This window comes from Homo sapiens, chromosome 1 (assembly GCF_000001405.40).
Source record: "Homo sapiens chromosome 1, GRCh38.p14 Primary Assembly".
In the NCBI taxonomy this organism is placed as follows: domain Eukaryota; kingdom Metazoa; phylum Chordata; class Mammalia; order Primates; family Hominidae; genus Homo; species Homo sapiens.
This window is the reverse complement of record NC_000001.11, coordinates 67,817,454-67,835,816: the sequence shown is the minus strand read 5'-3', so window position 1 is coordinate 67,835,816 and position 18,363 is coordinate 67,817,454. Positions and strand designations below refer to the sequence as shown.

Below are 18,363 nucleotides of genomic sequence, written 5' to 3'. Positions count from 1 at the left end.
CCAAGCACTGGCAGCAAGTGCTGGAATTAGGCATGTACTTTAATATAAACTAGAGTAGAAGATTGATGCTTGCTTTTCAAACCCATGATTACATGCTTGGAGTTACTAACTGCCAGGGTAATATATGTACAAAATAACAAAAGTGAGTCAATAAGAAATATAAATAAAAAATAGGAATTACAGTTGTATGAAAATGGAATGTGAATCCTTTAAGTTTGGGAAACATCAGCAGAGTAGAAAGGACACTGGATCAAGGGCATCGATAAAAGCACAAAGTATTGGGTCAGCCAGCCAAGGTTTGAATCCTGGCTCTGCCAGTTTTGCTCTGTAAGACCTAACCTTCCTGTGACTACGTCCTTAGGTTGTTAGGAGGATTAAAAGGTTTAATATATGTAAAGCACTTAAAGCAACATCTGCTACGCAGAAAGTGCTGGTTAAGTATTAGCTCTTATCATTCCTGCCTTGCTATTAGGTTGATGCAAAAGTAATTGCGGTAATAACTTCTGTACTAACCTAATACTATCTCGATCAGTGCTTCTCAAACTATCTGTGATATTTTATTTTCAATCTGTTGCAGGCTGATGCCTTTCCACATAAAAGAAAAATGAAATAGACATAAAATACAAAGCTGCATTTTAAACGATTTAACAGACATAAAATTACTCTGTCAAATTGCTGTAAGTTTCTACATGCTCATCTTCAATTTCTATGCTCATCCCTTTGTAGATGGGTAACGGTTTGCAGACTGTCACTATTCCATGAACCACACTTTGAACAGCACTCAACTAGAAAAACCTTCGACAAGCCGCTTAAGTTACTGGTGGCAATATGTGGTGTTCCAGCTTCCAGGTTTTTTCAAGAGACTAATGAGAGAAAAGTAAGAGTAAGTACATGAAAGCACTTATTAAACTATAAAGTGTCCCAGGAAGGAAAATTAGTAGCATAGCTTAGAGGAGTCTATTCTGTGGTCTGTGGCCAAAAAATACAAACTCCAGTATGCCACCCTCTCAGTCCCTGTGGTGTCAAGCTGTTCTGTTTCAGGTGTATCATTTGAACTGTTAGTACTTGTGAATCAGTCAAGCATTTCCTAATGCTGAACAGAACAGGAAATAAAGACCCCTCTGGCAGTCTGTGGCTTGCATCCCACAAACCACCGCCATCCGCAGCTTGCTAAGACCACACTCCTGGGGCAAGGCATGCATTCATACACCTACTCTACCTGTGACACCTCTTCTACATGTGCAAATGATTTCACTAAACCTGAAACTTGCTTAGGGGTCAGAAGGAAAGCAAGAGGGAATATAATGCCCTGACTGCAGTCCCTAGTTCCCAGATTCCCCAGGGCCCACTTGTCCTCAGTTGGTGAAACTCAATACACAGACATCCCTCACCAATGCTTTCAGACTCCATTTCAAGTGTGGACTCTGCCCACACTGGTTCTAAGTGACCTACTTTGGCCTCACCTCTTTTCTCTCCACCCTGTCAAACAAGAAAGCGGCTACCTAGGAATACTCTAGAAGTCCGCTGAGTGGTTTTCTGAACATCCAGCTTCTTTACTCTTTCTGGACTCCAAGAAGGCAAGCCCCTTGTCTGATTCATCTTTGTACCTCTCCCATCACCTTTAGCATCGCAGTTGGTACACAGCGGGTGCTTGGTAATGTCTGTCGAATGGCCAAAGGAATAGTACAAAATCTGTGGAAGCGGAAATGGCTCCTCCATTTACCCGACCTTGAACCCTTCCAGAAAAGACCAACCAAATCCCATTAATTCATTAGGCAGAACTCTGCCAGGTACTGGACATTCGGAAACAAATTTCAGGGGGTCGGGGCAGATGGACGGGAAGCTCATGGTGGGTGGATGTACTACAAATTCTATAATCCGCAGTTATACCTCCACTTTCTGGGAAACTTCTCTCCGTGGCCCCAGGGCCCTTTAAATGTTACTATGCGTGTTTTCCTCCATAGTTTCTGGAACAGAACCAAACTTTCGTGTAGGGGTTTGGCAGCGCTCATCCTCACAGCCCTGGGGACCGCTGGCACAGGGGCAAGCGAGGCGTTCGCACGCGAAGGAAACTTGCGAGGAGTCAGGGCGGCCCCGCGCGGGGGCGGGTCGTAGAGTGGGGGCCCTCAAGTCCTAGAACTTCAGGTCCTCCATGAGAATTAGAGGAAGGGGGATGGCCAAAGACGACCAGACGTCCACCGAGCTTCCACAGGCCAGGCCTCGCCCCTCCTCCTGCGGGGCCACAACGCGGGCTCCCCGGCCCGGGACAGCACAGCCAGGGCGTCCGGGCGGGAGGCAGGGCCCGGCGCGGAGGAAGGAGCCCGGGGCCGCCGCCGCCCCGCCCACCCCAGCGAGGCGGAGCCGGCGCCCGGAGGAGCAAGAGGAGGAGGAGGAGGAGAGGTCGGAGCCGTCTCCAGGAGCCCTTAGAGACCGAGTCCCGGCGGCGACGGCGGGGCAGCGCACCGGCAGGCGGGTGAGTACCAAGCGGCGGGCGCGGGTGGTGAGTCGGGTCCCCGCGGGGTCGGGGCGCGGCGCGGGGCGTCGGCCAGCGAGTTCGGGGGCCGCCTCCGAGTCCCGGGTGCTGGGAAGCGAGATGGAGGGAGGGAGCGGAGGAAGGAAGGAAGGAGGGAAGAGTGTCCTGCTGGAGGGCGGGGACTGGTCTGGGCGCTGGGCGCCGGAGACCGGGGGGAGGGGGAGGAAGGGGCCAAGGGACACCGAGACCCAGAGGCAGAAACGGCGCGCGCGCCCTCGACGGGCGGCCGCCCGAGGTTGCGGGAAGCCGCCCCCACGGCTGTGGCTGGGGCTAGGGCTGGGGGTGGAAGGAAAGGTCTCCCCTTGAGCTCGCTTGCCTCCTCGCCAGCCTGCGGCCGTGCGCCCCGCGCCGGGTTGGGAGGCCCCCAGTGTTCCCAGCCGTGGCTTGTGGTGGTGTCAGGCGTTGGAGGAGGGCTGGCATGTGGGGGCGACAGGGACGCCACGCCCCTCTGCCTACTTTCTACCTCCCGGGACCAGCCGGCGGGAGCGCAGCCTTGGAATCCGCTGGGCGCTGGGGGTCTAGCAGGGAAATAGCGGGTCGCAGAGGGGAGAGCCCATATGACGCACCCCGCGAGGGACCCCCGAGTGGGGACCCGAGGCTGCTTTTCTGCAGACTGTATTTGCAAGTGGTAAGGGGGAGGTTGAGGCTTAGTCTTGGGTGATTTTTTTTTTTTTAATTATTGCCCCGACAGTTATCCCGTGGGGCAGGGTGAATTCTGTTTTTCATTTTAATTAGGGCATATCAATTAAAGCTAACTTTAAAACGCTGTCACTTAGCACCTCCCGTCACTCACTCGTCCCTCGCTTTGTGTGTCCTGTAAACTTGGCTTAAATCATTCATAACTCACGATAAGGAAGCCGTGATTCTTGTTCACGTCGCCGCAGTGGAGTGAAACTTTGCCCAACTGGGACTGAGTGGAGGCATTGCTGCGGCCGGTCATCTGGTGGTCATCCTGCCGGGCGTGGTTGTATACAAACAAGTGGGTCGAGAAGGAAATCTCTGAACACCAGAGGTAGAAGGGAGGTTCCTGCGCCCACGTGTCAGGGCGCGTTTAATGGCTGCTCCCAGCGGAAACAAACGGGAATTTATTAGACCGTGTGGAGTTGGACAAACTTCACATGATTAGCTTCCTTCCCATCAGTTACTTCCTCTCCCCCCTGCTGTCTTTGCCGACACAGTTTATATTTCCTGGGGCGGTTGTAGCTTCGCCTGAATAGGCTGTGTATAATGAATCTTTTGGATGTCGTCAGAGGCAGGGTCTGCGTCTGTGCCTTCTCTATTTTAAAAGCGGAGTTTGGCTTTGTTTTTAAAAGTGCTAGTCACCAGACTGCACCCTTGCCAGCGCTTCGCAGCTCTCGAAGTAAATTATCGCAGGATGGCGGCCCTCACCTAGGAGAACCAGGAAGGCAGGCAGCGCTAGAACGACGGGATTGAATTTTACTATTGCCAAAACAATCACATTCAAGTAAGGAGCTGTTTTGTTTTGTTTTTGTTTTTTTAACCAAATTATATATACTAGCAAGCCCCTTTTCTAGTAAACTAACGTTATTCACACACACAATTTTTAAAGTAATCAAAAATTTTACAGAGTCTTAAGTGATAAAAGGACTTTCAGATAAAATGTTCAGTCCCTTTGCCTTCTCTAATAGTTAACCAGCGCCGTAAAGCCCTGGTTTAAGTCCAAAAAATGCTGAAAAGTCTACTGCGTCGTTAGACCTTATAAATAATGCAGTCCTATTTTTGCTGTATTTAACTCATGTAATTTACTAGATATCGAACCCCCAACAGGGCACACAGCACTTAGATTTGTGTAGAAATATATGAAAATGTGAATCTGTGTTTCACAAGAGCCTGAAAAAAATAGAATTATAAAAATTTCCTGTCCAGAAAGCTCCAGTCTTACTTGAAAGCTCTCTAACAATTAGATTTGTGGATTTGTGTTGTCACTTGTTAGAGAATATCGGTGGTTTATTAAAGTGTGAGAGCAAAGGGCTTCATGGTCAGAAAACTTGAGGAAGTGGTTAGCCAATATCAAATTAGTTTTTTTTAAAATTAGAATTATGTGATTTATTGTGTTTTGCTTTGTTTTGGAGTTTTATGTCAGCTTAAGCTTAACCTAGGAAGGCAAGTTGTGAAAGCAAGTAAATTTTTCTGAGCCCTAACTTGGAAGAGAAGCTTGTTTAACAGTGATTTGGGGTGTTGGCTTTGGAGTCAGACAGACTTAGATGAAAATATTAGCTATTTAACCTTTTTCAGTCTGATTTATAAGATGGGGATAATAATGGTCTCTATCTGTAGGGCTTTACAGAAAGTATATGAAAACTTTGTCTTTGGAAAACACTTAAACTGGACTTAACACGCAGTACATGGTCAAAATTATTAGATATTTATCTAGCTTGTTCAAGCAGCAGGCTACTGGATAAATTGCAGGGTGGCAGCTTGAACCTTCCGGAAATGCTAGATAGAGCAATTTCAAATTCTACAGAAAGTAACTGGTGTGTGTGTGTTTGTGTGTGTGTATGTGTGATGTTTCTACCACAGCAATATGAATAATTATGATTAAAGGATTAATAGTTTTAATATGCTTTTAGTGCTAAAGTTACAGTTGCATAGTAATTTTGACAGTCAGAAACATTGCATTATCCTTTACATTTAAAGAGAATTTATATTTCAAATAGTTGTGTTTATTAGCCCTAGGTAAGAAATTAAGCCAGGAACAGAAGTATTCATCTTTAACCAAGTGTAATTCTTAATCAAAGTATGAAAACATGTGACCCAAGGGTATCCGGTTATTTACTTTTGCATGTGCTGATGTCCAAGGCCAACAGATAAGCCATAAGAAGTGTTAGGCTGATTGTGAGTCGTTGTTTTATTTGTAAACTTTCATGAGATTGGGTGTTCAGTTAATTCAGGAAATCTACTCATCACATTGTTGACTCATTTCCTAAAATCTAAAAAATTTTTTAAATGCCTTCATCTTGCCAGGCGCTGTGGCTCACACCTATAATCCCAGCACTTTGGGAGGCCAAGGTGGGCGGATCACCTGAGGTCGGGAGTTCAAGACCAGCCTGACCCACATGGAGAAACCCCATCTCTACTAAAAATACAAAATAAACCAGGCGTGATGGCGCATGCCTGAAGTCCCAGCTACTCGGGATGCTGAGGCAGGAGAATCACTTGAACCCAGGAGGCGGAGGTTGCGGTGAATCGAGATCGTGCCATTGCACTCCAGCCTGGGCAACAAGAGCAAAAACTCTGTCTCAAAAAAAAAAAAAAAAAAAGCCTCCATCTTTAAAACAAACCCTTTAAAGCTTCTTGTTTTTGTCCTAATGCACGTCAGGTGCACAGAATTGGGCTGAACCAGGATCTTAGCTCATGCCACAGATGATTTCTCATTTTACTAATTGCTCCACTGGGACACAGAGATGTGGTTTATAATAATTTTAAATAACTATAAAGGGTACAGTGTGATTATTAATTGTTTCTTGCCTATGACATTATGCTCTGAAACAACTGAAGCATTTGATTGAGTAAATTATTGATTCGTTTCACTCCTAGAACATAACATAATGATTTCTGGCTCATACTTCTAGGTGAGTAGACTGTGAGCAAGTTACTTAATCTATGCTTCAATAAGTGTTGTGAGGAATAAATGAGCTAATCTATGTATATAGCATTTGGAATAGTGCCTGGTGCATAGTCCACATTCAATAAATGTTAACATTAAATTATTGAAATTTTCTCTAAATGTTGTATAATGAGCATGCATTATTTTTGTAACAGGAAAACAGCTATACAAAATTTTAATATTTCCCCCAAATCTAAAAAAAGCTCAGTAATTTAAATAGTCCTGCCAAATAGTACTTAAAAAGTAAGAGAATTAGACAATCATCATTTTGTCTTTTAAATGTGAAATGGTTTGCAATATTAATTTGTTAAACAAGTTAATTCTTCCAAATCTCAATTCCATTTTCTTTTTTATTAGAGACTTTAAAAAATCAGTAATACATGAAGTCTGTTACAGTTTAAAATGGGGAAAAGCAGTATGCACAGTTACATTGTGTTATTACAATTACAGCTAGCTTAAAAATTATTTTTAAACCATAAGAAAAGCCTAGAAGAAAATACAGACAAATTGGTGATGGGATTATGGTGCTCTCCCACCCCCAACCTGCTTTTCCCCTATTTTCCACAATGCGCCTATATATATACTAAAATATAATTCATTTGTGTAATAGTTACTAAACAAATCTGGTTTATTAACTACAAATACTAAAAAAAATTTGCGTAATAGTTACTAAAAAACAAATCTGGCTTGTTAACTACAAATAGCAGGATTTTATTGTTGTTTTGGAAAAAGCACCAACTTTATGGCAGTTGAATGTCCTTCGGTTAAATGTCAAAACCTTTGCAGTGAGAATTGTTTAGCGGTAAAAGAGAAGGCCTTTCAGAAGCTTGTAGTTTGATCTTCATGAAGAATATTTGAAAAGTCTACCAGTGGGTTTTTAGGATCTGCATATAGACCTAGTCCACCAACCTTGACTTTATGGAAGTTGTGACTTCCCAGATCCAGGCCTGCCTTGATGAGCTGCGTTTTTACAGCACCTTCAGTATATCAGACACCTGGAAGACAGTAATGAGGCAGATATTGGTGCACTTAGTTTAACAGGAAGGTTGGATAGATAAAAACTAATTACAGCACAATTGTATATATTATATATCCTGAGCCCTTTCTAAACTCTTCCCGTATACAGTCTTGCTCAGTTGTCACAACAGCCCAGAGGAGGAAGCTGAGGTTCCTTAAAGGTCTGAACCTTGCTCAAGTTGCAAGGACAGAATTTGACCCAGAAGCATCTTAACTCCACATCTCATGCCCTCTGCACGGAGATGGAGGTGCATCCAGCCAGAGGTGAGAGTGAAGTGGGCTTTATGGAGTCAGTTTTGCTTAAAAACTATAAAACTAATCAAGAGAAACATGAGGAGGAGACTCCTTTTAGGTGACCTTCCTGAGGAGAATCATCAGTGCCTCTCCATCAGGCTTGCCACTCTTTAGCCATAGCAGTTAACACTTCCAAATGGCTGCTGAGACCCAGCAGGCCTGAAGCGCACACAAAGGCCCAGTCCTTGGTGACCCTGTGAAGCCTACCTCTTTCATCCCTGGACTTCCAAAGGGGGTCTGGATAGTACAGATGAAGGAACTGACTCGCTAAATCCTGTTCTAGAACCAGCACATACCCACAGATCCTGACCTCCCCACTTTCCTCCCTTAGGAATGACAGGAGAGTAGTTAACAGGTAGCATGGATCCAGGGCAGATGGTGGAGGTGACTTGACTTAAGATAACTTGTAGCTAGATTATTCCATTTATTGGAGAGTCTCTCTTGAAAATCATATCTGATGTCACTTAAGTGTTTGGTTTATCATGTTAGTCTTTATTGGGTGTCGTAAAAGTGCTCAGTTGTGAAGTGTCTGGTTACCATCCTGTGACAAGGAGGGTTTTTGTCTTCTTTTAATGGGTCTGCATTTCAGAGAATTACTGTATAATAAAAACTGGAGTGTTGGCTGGGTGCAGTCGCTCACGCCTGTAATCCCAGCACTTTGGGAGGCCGAGGCGGGTGGATCACAAGGTCAGGAGAGCGAGACCATCCTGGCTAACATGATGAAACCCCGTCTCTACTAAAAATACAAAAAATTAGCCGGGCGTGGTGGCGGTCGCCTGTAGTCCCAGCTACTTGGAAGGCTGAGGCAGGAAAATGGCGTGAACCTGGGAGGCAGAGCTTGCAGTGAGCCGAGATCGTGCCACTGTACTCAAGCCTGGGCAACAGAGCAAGATGCCATCTTAAAAAAATAAAAAAAAAAACTGGAGTGTTGGAGACTGTTAAGAATTAATACTTTCAGTTCTGCCAGAGGGTTAGTATCTAGAAGTTCTAAGAGATTGGTTGCTAAAATCTTCTGTAATTTTCAGTTTCATTGATTGTATAATAAGTGGGTGACTTTGGGCCCAGAGAGTCAGAAGGCTTTGTATTCTGTATGCTTTCTGACACAGTAGGCCACCACTCCCCTTGCAGGCAAGGTCATGTAATTGACATAGGATCCCCTTTAGTTGACCGAAGAGAGAAGTATAAGCTCTGGTTGAACTTGAGTTTGCGTGATCACACATGCTCACTGGAGTGAAGTCTGAATCAGTTGCCATCTCTGCACTTGCATTGTGTGTAGAGAATTGTCTTGATTCAGAATGGCTTTGTGCAAACTCACATGAGCCCATTGGAGGCAGAATCTTAACTTCATTGATGTGAAATAATCAGGCTTTTATTTAGCTTCAGATGGCACTAGCCAAGACGTCCTTGACCACTGGACACTAAACCCTTAACTCCCCACTGGGACCCTTTGACTCAGACCCCAAGCTTGCAGTTACCTCAAATTTTGTGTTGTTTTGGGGGGATAAATTATTGCAGAGGAAAAACATAAGGTTTTTTCTCAAATGAAGACTCAAACTGAAATCCATTAAATCCCAACATGAGCTAAATCTAAGGGTGGAAAGAGGAATCAAAATCTAAAAGCCTCTTGGACTTTATTGAGGCTTATTGAAGACCTTATTGAGATAACATCATCATACCAAGTTTAACCAGAATCTCAGGCAAATTAGAAAGGTGTAACCTTTAGACTAGGTGCCTGAGCTGTGCCTAGACTAATGAAATCTTCTGAATTATTAGACCATGGCCTGCACATTAGACCATGGGGCTTCATGTGGGTATATAAGGTCATGATTGGCTGTGCAGATAAGTTGTCATGGGAGGGTTGGATGTCTGGCCAAGAAGCAGAAGGAATGGATTGTGACTTCTTGACAGGGATACCTTGAACTGTTATACAGGTTGTTCACTGCACAAAAGTGCCTGGGCAAGGAGGCAAATGGGAGGCTCACATCTGCTAAACAAACAAAACCACATGCATCCTGGAGTAGGATTGCCTCTGCTAGGAGAAAAGGGAACTTCTTTCTGATGCTATCAAGCCTGCAAAAGTCTAGGTGTACATGGAAGGAATGCCTTTTTTTAACACACACAAAGGCACAATATGGCTACCAGCAGCTCTGCTTCTCAAAGCCCCTGTAGCCACAGTAGTCCTCTAGATGCCATCAGCTGGCAGAGTCTGTCACTTAACCATTTGGTTTATCATGTCAGGCTTTATTGGGAAACATATAAACTTCATGAATGTCAGTGGAATGAAGGAATAAAACCATGTTTTCTGTGGTATGTCAGCAAGGTACATGTAAAAAAGTAATACTGATTATATATGCTAGGAAACAAACATTCAGTGGTACACATTGCCTATGATGAGTTTCTTTCTCTTCAATTCATTATTTCTGAGGGGTAGGTAAAGACCAGCACTTTGGGTGCTGTTGACATTGTTTATTGCTACTTAAACACCAGCATGCTCAGTATTGCCTAATACTTGCCAGGGTCACCAGCACCCGTTGTGTAGTTGGCCTGGTGCAGGGAATGGAGTAGTAGTAACTCCTGGGAACGTGGAGAGGGATTCATGTTATTTATTGACCAGCCGTAGGCCTTTTTCCTTGGGGACAGGATGCAAGTAACAGTGGTTGCAGGAGCCTTTGGAACTTACCTATGAGTAGCTGCTGCTTCTGGAAAAAGGCTTCTAGTTTAGGTTAAAAGGTGCGGAGTCTTGTTATCAAAGGTACCACAAACTCAGAGAGTTTGTCTGTGTTCCCCTTAGTACCAACTGGTACTACTTTCTTGCTTTTTTAAGTTGATCCTTTAGAAAGCCTGTAGCCAGAATCAACTTCCTTCTCCTGGCTCCTCTTCTGGGAGGCATTTGCACAGCCTGTAGGATCAGCCATGTTTAGTGAATCTAACTGCTAAGGCAGTGGTCCTGAGGATCAAGGTGCTGGTTCATACTTCGGACCTAGGCCATCTGCTGTTTTCTGGAGACAATACACCTTGTGAAAAAAACTAAAAGATGCAGAAACGTGAATGCCTTTCACATTTAACCTGGTTAAATGCAGCTATCTTCAGACATACTCAGATTCCCAAAGCAGAAAGAGCAGAAGATGACAATTCCTAAGAATTTCTTACAGAATTTCTTTAAATAGCAAATTCACCTGTTGTGTTTATAGTATGATTTGATTACACAAAATTCCAGGAGTCTCAAGTTTTCAAGGAATATCTCTGTCAAATTCAGCAGAATATTCCAGCACATGCCTTGCCCTCTTTTTTAACATAAATATTTGATGAGCAGCATGCTTTATCCAAGAGCAAATCAATGCTCCTGGCAGGCTGCCTAGAAGGTAATCCTAGTGTTCCTATCTTTGCCTCCCATTCACCTACAGTTCTCTGACTTCCTATGGCTGTAATAAATATCCGGGGGCTCAGAGCCACCCACATCCAGCAGGTAATATAACACAGGGCAGAAATTACCCTCTCCACACTCACTGTGCTTACCTCCTGAATTCTGGACTGAGATTTCTCTGACTGACTTTCACATGAGAACCTACCTGCCTAAACCCAGGTTTCTTCGACTCCTCCTCCTGAGCTGTTGAACTCCACCTTAGCTTTATCTCTTCCATGCCAATCTTGTCCTGTTCTTCACACTTCTGGGAAAATTGCTTATACAACTTCAATATTTTTGAAAATATATAATATATGATCCTCAAGAAACATTATAACCATATACAAAGGTAAACATTTTTGACAATTTCTTACAAGAATTCCCTACAAGATTTCTTTTCTTTTCTTGCTTCCTTTTTTTTTTTTTTTTTTTGAGACAGGATCTCAGTCTGTCATCCTGGCTGGAGTGCAGTGGCACAATCATGGCTCACTGCAGCATCGACTTCCCTGGCTCAGGTGATCCTCCCACCTCAGCCTCCTGAATAGCTTGGACTATAGGTGCCTGCCACCACACCTGGCAAACTTTTGTGTTTTTTGTAGAAATGGGGTTTTACCATGTTGCCCAGGCTGGTCTCGAACTCCTAGACTCAAGCAATCTGCCAGCCTCAGCCTCCCAAAGTGCTAGGATTACAGGCCTGATCCACCGTGCCCAGCCCCAGGATTTCTTTAAATAGCAAATTCACAAAAATCAAAAGTTTTCAAATTCAAAAACCTTGCTCCCATCTTATCCCCATCCATGCCTTTCCCATATTCTCTGCAAGTAGCAACTTGTAAACACAAGCAAATAAGAATATATGGTATTTTAATTCTCCCCCCTTCTCTCATTAAAGGTGGTGTATATACTCTTCTTTACCTTACCTTTTAAAATTAGTGGTATGTTTTAGACATCTGTCTCTGCAAGTATCTCTTTCTCACACACACACAGAATAACAAGTTTTCCATCATGTGGATGTACCATGGTTTATTTGACCAATCTCTACTGCTGGACCTTTGGGCTGTTTCCCAGTCTTTTGCTATTACAAACAGTGCTGTGATGAATAAAGATGTAATAAATCATTTTGCTTTGTGAAGGTGTACTTAAGGATTGATTCCCAGAAGTGGGACTGCTGAATCACAGTGCTCTGTAGTACCCCTCCGGAAAGATTGAACCATTTTGCCCTCCCATCAGGAATGTATTGGATGTCCCGGTTCCGTACAGCCAATGGCCATAAAAGTGTCAGCTCTTCTTATTTTTGCTAAGCTGGTTTCTGCACAACGGTAATTTAGAGCCATTGAAATATTTTTGATTATGAGTGAGATGGCGGTTTGGGGCGGTTCTTACATCTTTTCTAGAATGTTGATCCTCCTGTGGGCATTTGTTGACCTTTCCTCTTGCATACATCTCTGTCAGAATCTCCTAAATACAGACTTACAAATGTGATGGCTCTTTTGGGCCTAAGGGTAGAGTGGGCTGCCAAATTGTCAGTGCAAAATCAAGAGAAGTGGAAAGTAGGGTTTTATGCCAGTTGCTAATGTCTGAATTAAAAATAGTTTTCAGCTAATGGTATTACTAAACTGGGGCTTCTCCAAAAAACATGATGAAGATGATCTTCTAGCCTAGAATTTCTCCCTCTCAAACAAAAACAAAAGAGAGAGATTGAGAATATATACATTTCAATAGCATTTCCTGCAAAACTTAAAAACTTCCTTTTAAGAAGCCTAGAATTTTCCACTTGCACTGTATCTCCTGAAGGAAGGTTATACATGCCGTATTTTGTTGTTGTTGTTTACTGTCTGAATTGGGCTCCTGTTCTCCCTTTAATTTCACCATCAGAGCTCTGTCTACTGTATTTCCAGGGTGAAAGAGAAGATGAAAGTAAAAGCACAATGTAAGAAGTCAAACCAGAGCTCAGGACTCTACAAAGGATGTGGGATCGGAGTTGCATGGAATCATCTTTCTTTTTGAAGTGCTCTTTCAGTCAGCTCTTGGGATGCTATTTTAATATAAAATTAATTTTCATCTTTCAAAAACTAAATGCCATTGAAAGAGAGGGAAATTATGATTTGATGGGAAGATGGCAGTGGCTTTGTTTTTGGAAATTCACAAGAGGCAGTCTTATGAATTTGAGTATAAAGTTAGCCTATATCTCCATCAAAAAACAAAAAAAAAGCAAAAAAACAAAAATAATTTTTAAACTCACAACAAAAAACTCTGTCTCTGGGAGTACCTACACTAGCAATGAGTGGCCCATGAAAAATCCCAAAGGAAAAATTTTATCTTCCAGGCCCAGTGCTCTGTTTCTTTTTAGCTCCTGAATATGTACATTCTGACTTTTATGAAGGTTGGTTTAAAGCTCTCTGGATGTTTTGTTTTCCTTCTAGCACTTATCTCAATCAATTGTTATATTAACCTACCTCACTGCAGTGTCAGCTTCATAAGGACAGGATCTTGGTCCAGTACCTAGAAGGGGTACCTAGCACCTTTGGGTGCCTAATCAAAAGGGGTTGACTGCTTCTGGAGCTAGCTGGGTCTCTGTGGTCCTGTATCAGACATGGGCCTGAAGGAGGTCATGTCAGCCATTCCTTGGCCTTTTGACAAGATACCCTAGCCCAGGGGTGTCCAATCTTTTGACTTTCCTGGGCCACAGTGGAAGAATTGTCTTGGGCCACACATAAAATACACTAATACTAATGACAGCTTATGAGCTTACAGACAAATTGCAAAATAATCTCATAATGCAGGGCGCATGCGGCCCAGGACGACTTTGAATGCGGCCCAATACAAATTCATAAACTTGCTTAAAACATTATGAGATTTTTTTTGCGATTTTTTTTTTCAGCTCATCAGCTATCGTTAGTGTATTTTGTTTGTGGCCCAAGACAATTCTTCCCCTTCCAGTGTGGCCCAGGGAAGCCAAAAGATTGGACACCCCTGGTTTAGAGCTTGAGTTTGCGGTTTCAGTCTCCTGGGCAAATCACCTGACTTCTCAGATCCTGTTTTCCCGTTTGCAAAACAGAGATAATAACACCGTATTTCAACAGATTTCAGATGTCATTGATTAGATGTGCCGGTATTCTATGTGCCATTATTCTATGTGCCACTATTCTATGTGCCACTAAGAAAAAAAAAAAGCTGCTGATTAAATTATAATGCACATCAGCTGTAAGAGTGTGTTAGTTTTTCTATGGCCGCTATAACAAATTACCACAAATTTAGCAGCCTAACACAACAAATATGAATTATCTCACAGTTCTGTACATTGAAAGTGAGGGTGGGCTTGGCTGATTTCTCTCATCTGGGTTTTACAAGGCCACAATCAAGGTGTTGGCCTCTTATTGGGAGGCTTTGGGAAGAATTCATTTCTAGGCTCATTTAGGTTGTGGGTAGACTCCAGTTCCCTGCAATTACAGGATGAGGGCCTCCGGCTCTTTGCTGCCTCTTAGCTGGGAGGCATCCTCGACTCCTAGAGATCTCCCTCTGGTCCTTGCCCTTGAGCCCATATCAGAACTAGCAACATTATGACAAATCCTTCTCGTGCTTGGGATCTCTCTGATGTTTTTTTTTGTTTTTGTTTTTGCTGCATCTCTTTGCCTCCAGCCAGAGAAAATTCTGTTTTTAAGGGCTCCTTTGATTAGATCGGGCCCACCTATAGGGTACTCTCCATATATTAAGGTCAGTAACCTTAATTGCATAATGCAAAGTCCCTTTTGCCATGTAATGTAATATATTCACATGTTGCAGGGATTAAGACACAGACATCCTTGGAGCTTTCTGCCTACCATGAAGAATCATTCCAATTATCAGGGATCTTAAAATGTGAACAAAATATGCTTCTTAGAATTGATGAAACACCATATTTGGCTTAGGAATAAAACAGCTACTGATATATTTAAAGTACTTAGGGTGTTACTAGTAAGTGCTCAGATGTTAACTGTTGTTATAATTGACATCATTATCATAGTGGTCACGTAATATCCATCATCTTTAATATCAATTAAACTTATTTCTACAGTTAAATGCATTTATTAAACCCTAATTGAGAGAGTATAGTGTCCCGGCAGTAAACTGGATGAAGCTGATGATAGTTACCCTTTGAGTATCAGCATATGCTAGGAACTTCACATACACTTTCTCACTCCTTATAGTAGCTGAGCTAGGGAATACTGGCTCCATTTACAAGTGAGGAAGCAGGTTCTGAGAGGTTGAATACTGTGCTTGGAAGGTTATAGGCACAGTAGTGAGTGGTCTGACTCTGAAATCAGTACTCTTTTCATGGCACCGTTTTGCTGTCCAACAGCCTCTGGTAATACCACATTGAAAAGTGTGACAGGTGAGGCATCCGCCAGGTGGTCTGGAGGAATGGGCTTCTGGGAGTGGAAGGGACACAGGGAGGAGACACTGCCCTGTGTTGTCTCTCTCGTACTTGGATGTTTCTTTGCTATTTTTTGTGGACAAAGGCCCTGTCTCTTCATCTGTTTTTCAGTTGTTAATAAGCTCCAAGTTGATCTTTTTTTTTTTTTTGAGATGGAGTCTCACTCTGTCATCCAGGCTGGAGTATAATGGCACAATCTTGGCAACCTCCGCCATCCGGGTTCAAGCAATTCTCCTGTCTCAGCCTCCTGAGTAACTGGGACTATAGGCATATGCCACCACACCCAGCTAATTTTTGTATTTTTAGTAGAGACAGAGTTTCACCATATTGGTCAGGCTGGTCTTGAACTCCTGACCTCAGATGATCCGCCCACCTCGGCCTCCCAAAGTGCTGGGATTACAGGCGTGAGCCGCTGTGCCTGGCTGATCTTTTTTTTTTTTTTTAATTCAGCAAATGTTTATTGATTGTCTACTTGGGGGATACAACTGTGAACAAGATACACAAAATTCCTTGAGTAAAAATCACATGACGAGGTCAATTCAGAAAGGGGTAAGTGCTGTGAAGGTAGCAAAGCAGGGGACTGAGACAGAGAGATGGACTGGGGATGGAGGTGACCAGGAAAGACCACTCTTTGGAGGGGACATTTGAGCTGAGAGCTGAATGAGCAGGAGGCAGCCAGGTTAAATCTGGAGAAGAGCATTCCAGGTAGAGGGAACAGCCAGTGCAAAGGCACTGAGCTGGGAATAAGCTTCGCATGTTTGAGCACAAAAAGAAGGCTCCTGTGGTAGGAGTGTAAAGAACAATGAATGAGTGAATGCATGGTAGGAGATAAGTTTGGAGAAGTAGACAGAGAACAGATCACATAAGCCATTATAAAGAATCTGAATTTAATGAAAATGCAAATAAGAATTTGCAGGGAAATCTGCTTTTTGTTCAGAAATAAGCTGTAATGAGTGTGGCATTTTGCATACACACTGTGTTATTTTTGAAGGGAGGAAAGTTTAGGGTTTTGGAACTGCTGCTTTTTAAACTATTTTAAGTGTAACCAGTGCAAAGGGGAAAGAGGAGGAGGAAAGTGGTTTGGCAGAACTAGGGTAAAAATAGTGACTACCTGAATTCAGTAAACGAAGATCACAGTCTGTAGAATTTTCCTAAGACACAACTGTAGATTGTCTCAGGCTCTTCAAATTCAGATAGACATTTGCTGAAAACTGATCTCATCATCGTCCCCTTAAAACCTGCTTTCCTGCCTGTTTTCTGTAAGACATTTCCATCCACCCAGGTTGCTAAGCTCTGAACCCTTGAGTCATCAGGAACGCCTCCCTCCCCTTCATCTCTCCCTAGCTTGGACACCCTGCCCCCAACTAAAGCCTGGGTCCACCTCCTAAAGCGCCCGCATGTCTGCTTCTCCCTACCCCCATGCCTCTCACCTGGATTGTTGTTGTGGCTTCCTAACTGACCTTTACCCTGCACACTGCCACCAGCATGATTTCTTGAAAACATAAATTTCAGTGGGTCACTTCCTGAACTCATAGACAATAGAAAATTGTCTATGAGTTCCCCAAAGGCATCGCAGTCTAGTAATGAAGATTCACACTGCCCAGGTTCAAGGCCTCGTGATGCTTCTTACCACCTCTGGCTTGGGAATGTTTTTAACGGCTGTGTCTCAGTTTACTCATCTCTGAAACGGGTGTGATAATAGCACTTACCTCACAGATAAGTTATGAAATGTAAATGAGTTAATAGGTGTGAAGCACTCATAACCATGCCGGCCACACAGAAATCCTCAGTGAACATTATTCTTGATCTCTCTTTCCTTTGTAGAACAAGCTCATCTTTCTTGTGGCTCTCCACAATAGCTCCTACCTCCACCTTTCTCAGTGCCAGGCAAAGCTTGATCAGCAGACAGACCTCTTTGTTAGCAATCTGCAGCTAGATAAGTCCATATTTGGTAATTTTTATAGCAATTTGACCATCATTTTACATCTGTTGAATCTGATTAGGAACTGGACTTGTATTTTGTCCCATTTTTGGCAGTTCCTTTTCGCTGAATTTTTATGAAAGAATTGGTCCATATTGAATTGGAAGTAAAAAAAAAAAAAAAAAAAAAAAAAAAACCCCTGGTCTTTCCCCATGAATAATTTGAGAAGCACTTCTGTGTCCCCACACACCCACTATGTGATTCACATTGGCCAAGTTGTCCAAACTCACTGTGTAACCTTAAATCTCTCTGGATTTCCTCACACTGTTTCCTCTGCCTAGAATTTGTTAGACATTTATTAAGTACCTGTAATAAGTACAAGACTCTGGGGACATAAGGATGAATAAGGGTCTGCCTTTGCTTTTGAAAATGTTTCCTTCAAACCACCTAGTAAATTCCTACCAGTCTGTCGAAGCCTAGTATAGTTTCATTTTTTCCTTCATCCATTGAGAAAACATTTATTGACCAGGTGCAGTGGCTCACACCTGTAATCCCAGCACTTTGGGAGGCTGAGGTAAGAGGATTGCTTGAGCCCAGGAGTTTGAGACTAGCCTGGGCAACCTAGTGAAACCCTATCGCTACAAAAATTTTAAAAATTAGCTGGGTGCAGTGGTATGTGCCTGTAGTCCTAGCTACTCAGGAGGCTGAGGTGGGAGGATTTTCTGGGCCCAGGAGTTTGAGGCTGCAGTGAGCCATGATTGCACCACTGCACTCCAGCCTGGGCAGCAGAATGAGACATCGCAAAAAAAAAAAAAAAAAAAAGAAAGAAAGAAACAAAAGAAAACATTTATTAACATTTATTAAACACCAGACACCAAACACCAACTGTTTACTAAGCACCTGCTGCCTTCCCTTTCTTCCCTAAGGACCAGTAAGCTAATGAGGAAGACAGACACAAAAACAAATAATGACAGAATAATAGGCATGTTATATGGCAGTGTGAATACAGAAGTATGGAAGCACAGAGGAGGGGTGTGCCGGGCTATGCCTGAGCCAGGGCAAGGCACTGGGGAGATCAGGAATGGGGTCATAGTTAGGGTGGAGACAGTGTGTGGAAAGATTATGATCCAGGTTTTGGGCCCACAGCCAAAGCCCA

The 18,363-nt window shown here is 43.2% G+C and overlaps 1 protein-coding gene and 1 long non-coding RNA gene across 5 annotated transcripts in view, besides 1 other annotated feature; one reads left to right on the top strand and one right to left on the bottom strand.

The window, feature by feature from the left end:
• The window catches only part of GNG12-AS1 (GNG12, DIRAS3 and WLS antisense RNA 1), a 370,700-nt gene extending 367,171 nt beyond the window's left edge, over positions 1-3,529 (bottom strand). The window contains exon 1 of the long non-coding RNA NR_040077.1: positions 3,381-3,529. This is a non-coding gene — a long non-coding RNA (GNG12, DIRAS3 and WLS antisense RNA 1). The remainder of the gene's footprint in view (positions 1-3,380) is intronic.
• Positions 2,350-18,363, top strand: part of GNG12 (G protein subunit gamma 12) — a 131,993-nt gene continuing 115,979 nt past the window's right edge. For 3 of the 4 annotated variants that reach the window (NM_018841.6, XM_047425406.1, XM_047425415.1), the window contains exon 1: positions 2,350-2,473. The gene's annotated coding sequence lies outside the window, so the exon portion shown is untranslated. Of the gene's footprint in view, positions 2,474-3,649; positions 3,999-18,363 lie in introns of those variants that run through there. The other variant, XM_017001809.3, reaches the window with a different exon arrangement.
• Positions 16,457-16,751: an enhancer, noted in NCBI's record as "tiled region #9183; K562 Activating non-DNase unmatched - State 20:ReprD". NCBI's record gives its function as "activates a minimal TATA promoter and a strong SV40 promoter by Sharpr-MPRA in K562 cells {active_cell/tissue: K562}" and the evidence as "EXISTENCE:reporter gene assay evidence [ECO:0000049][PMID:27701403]".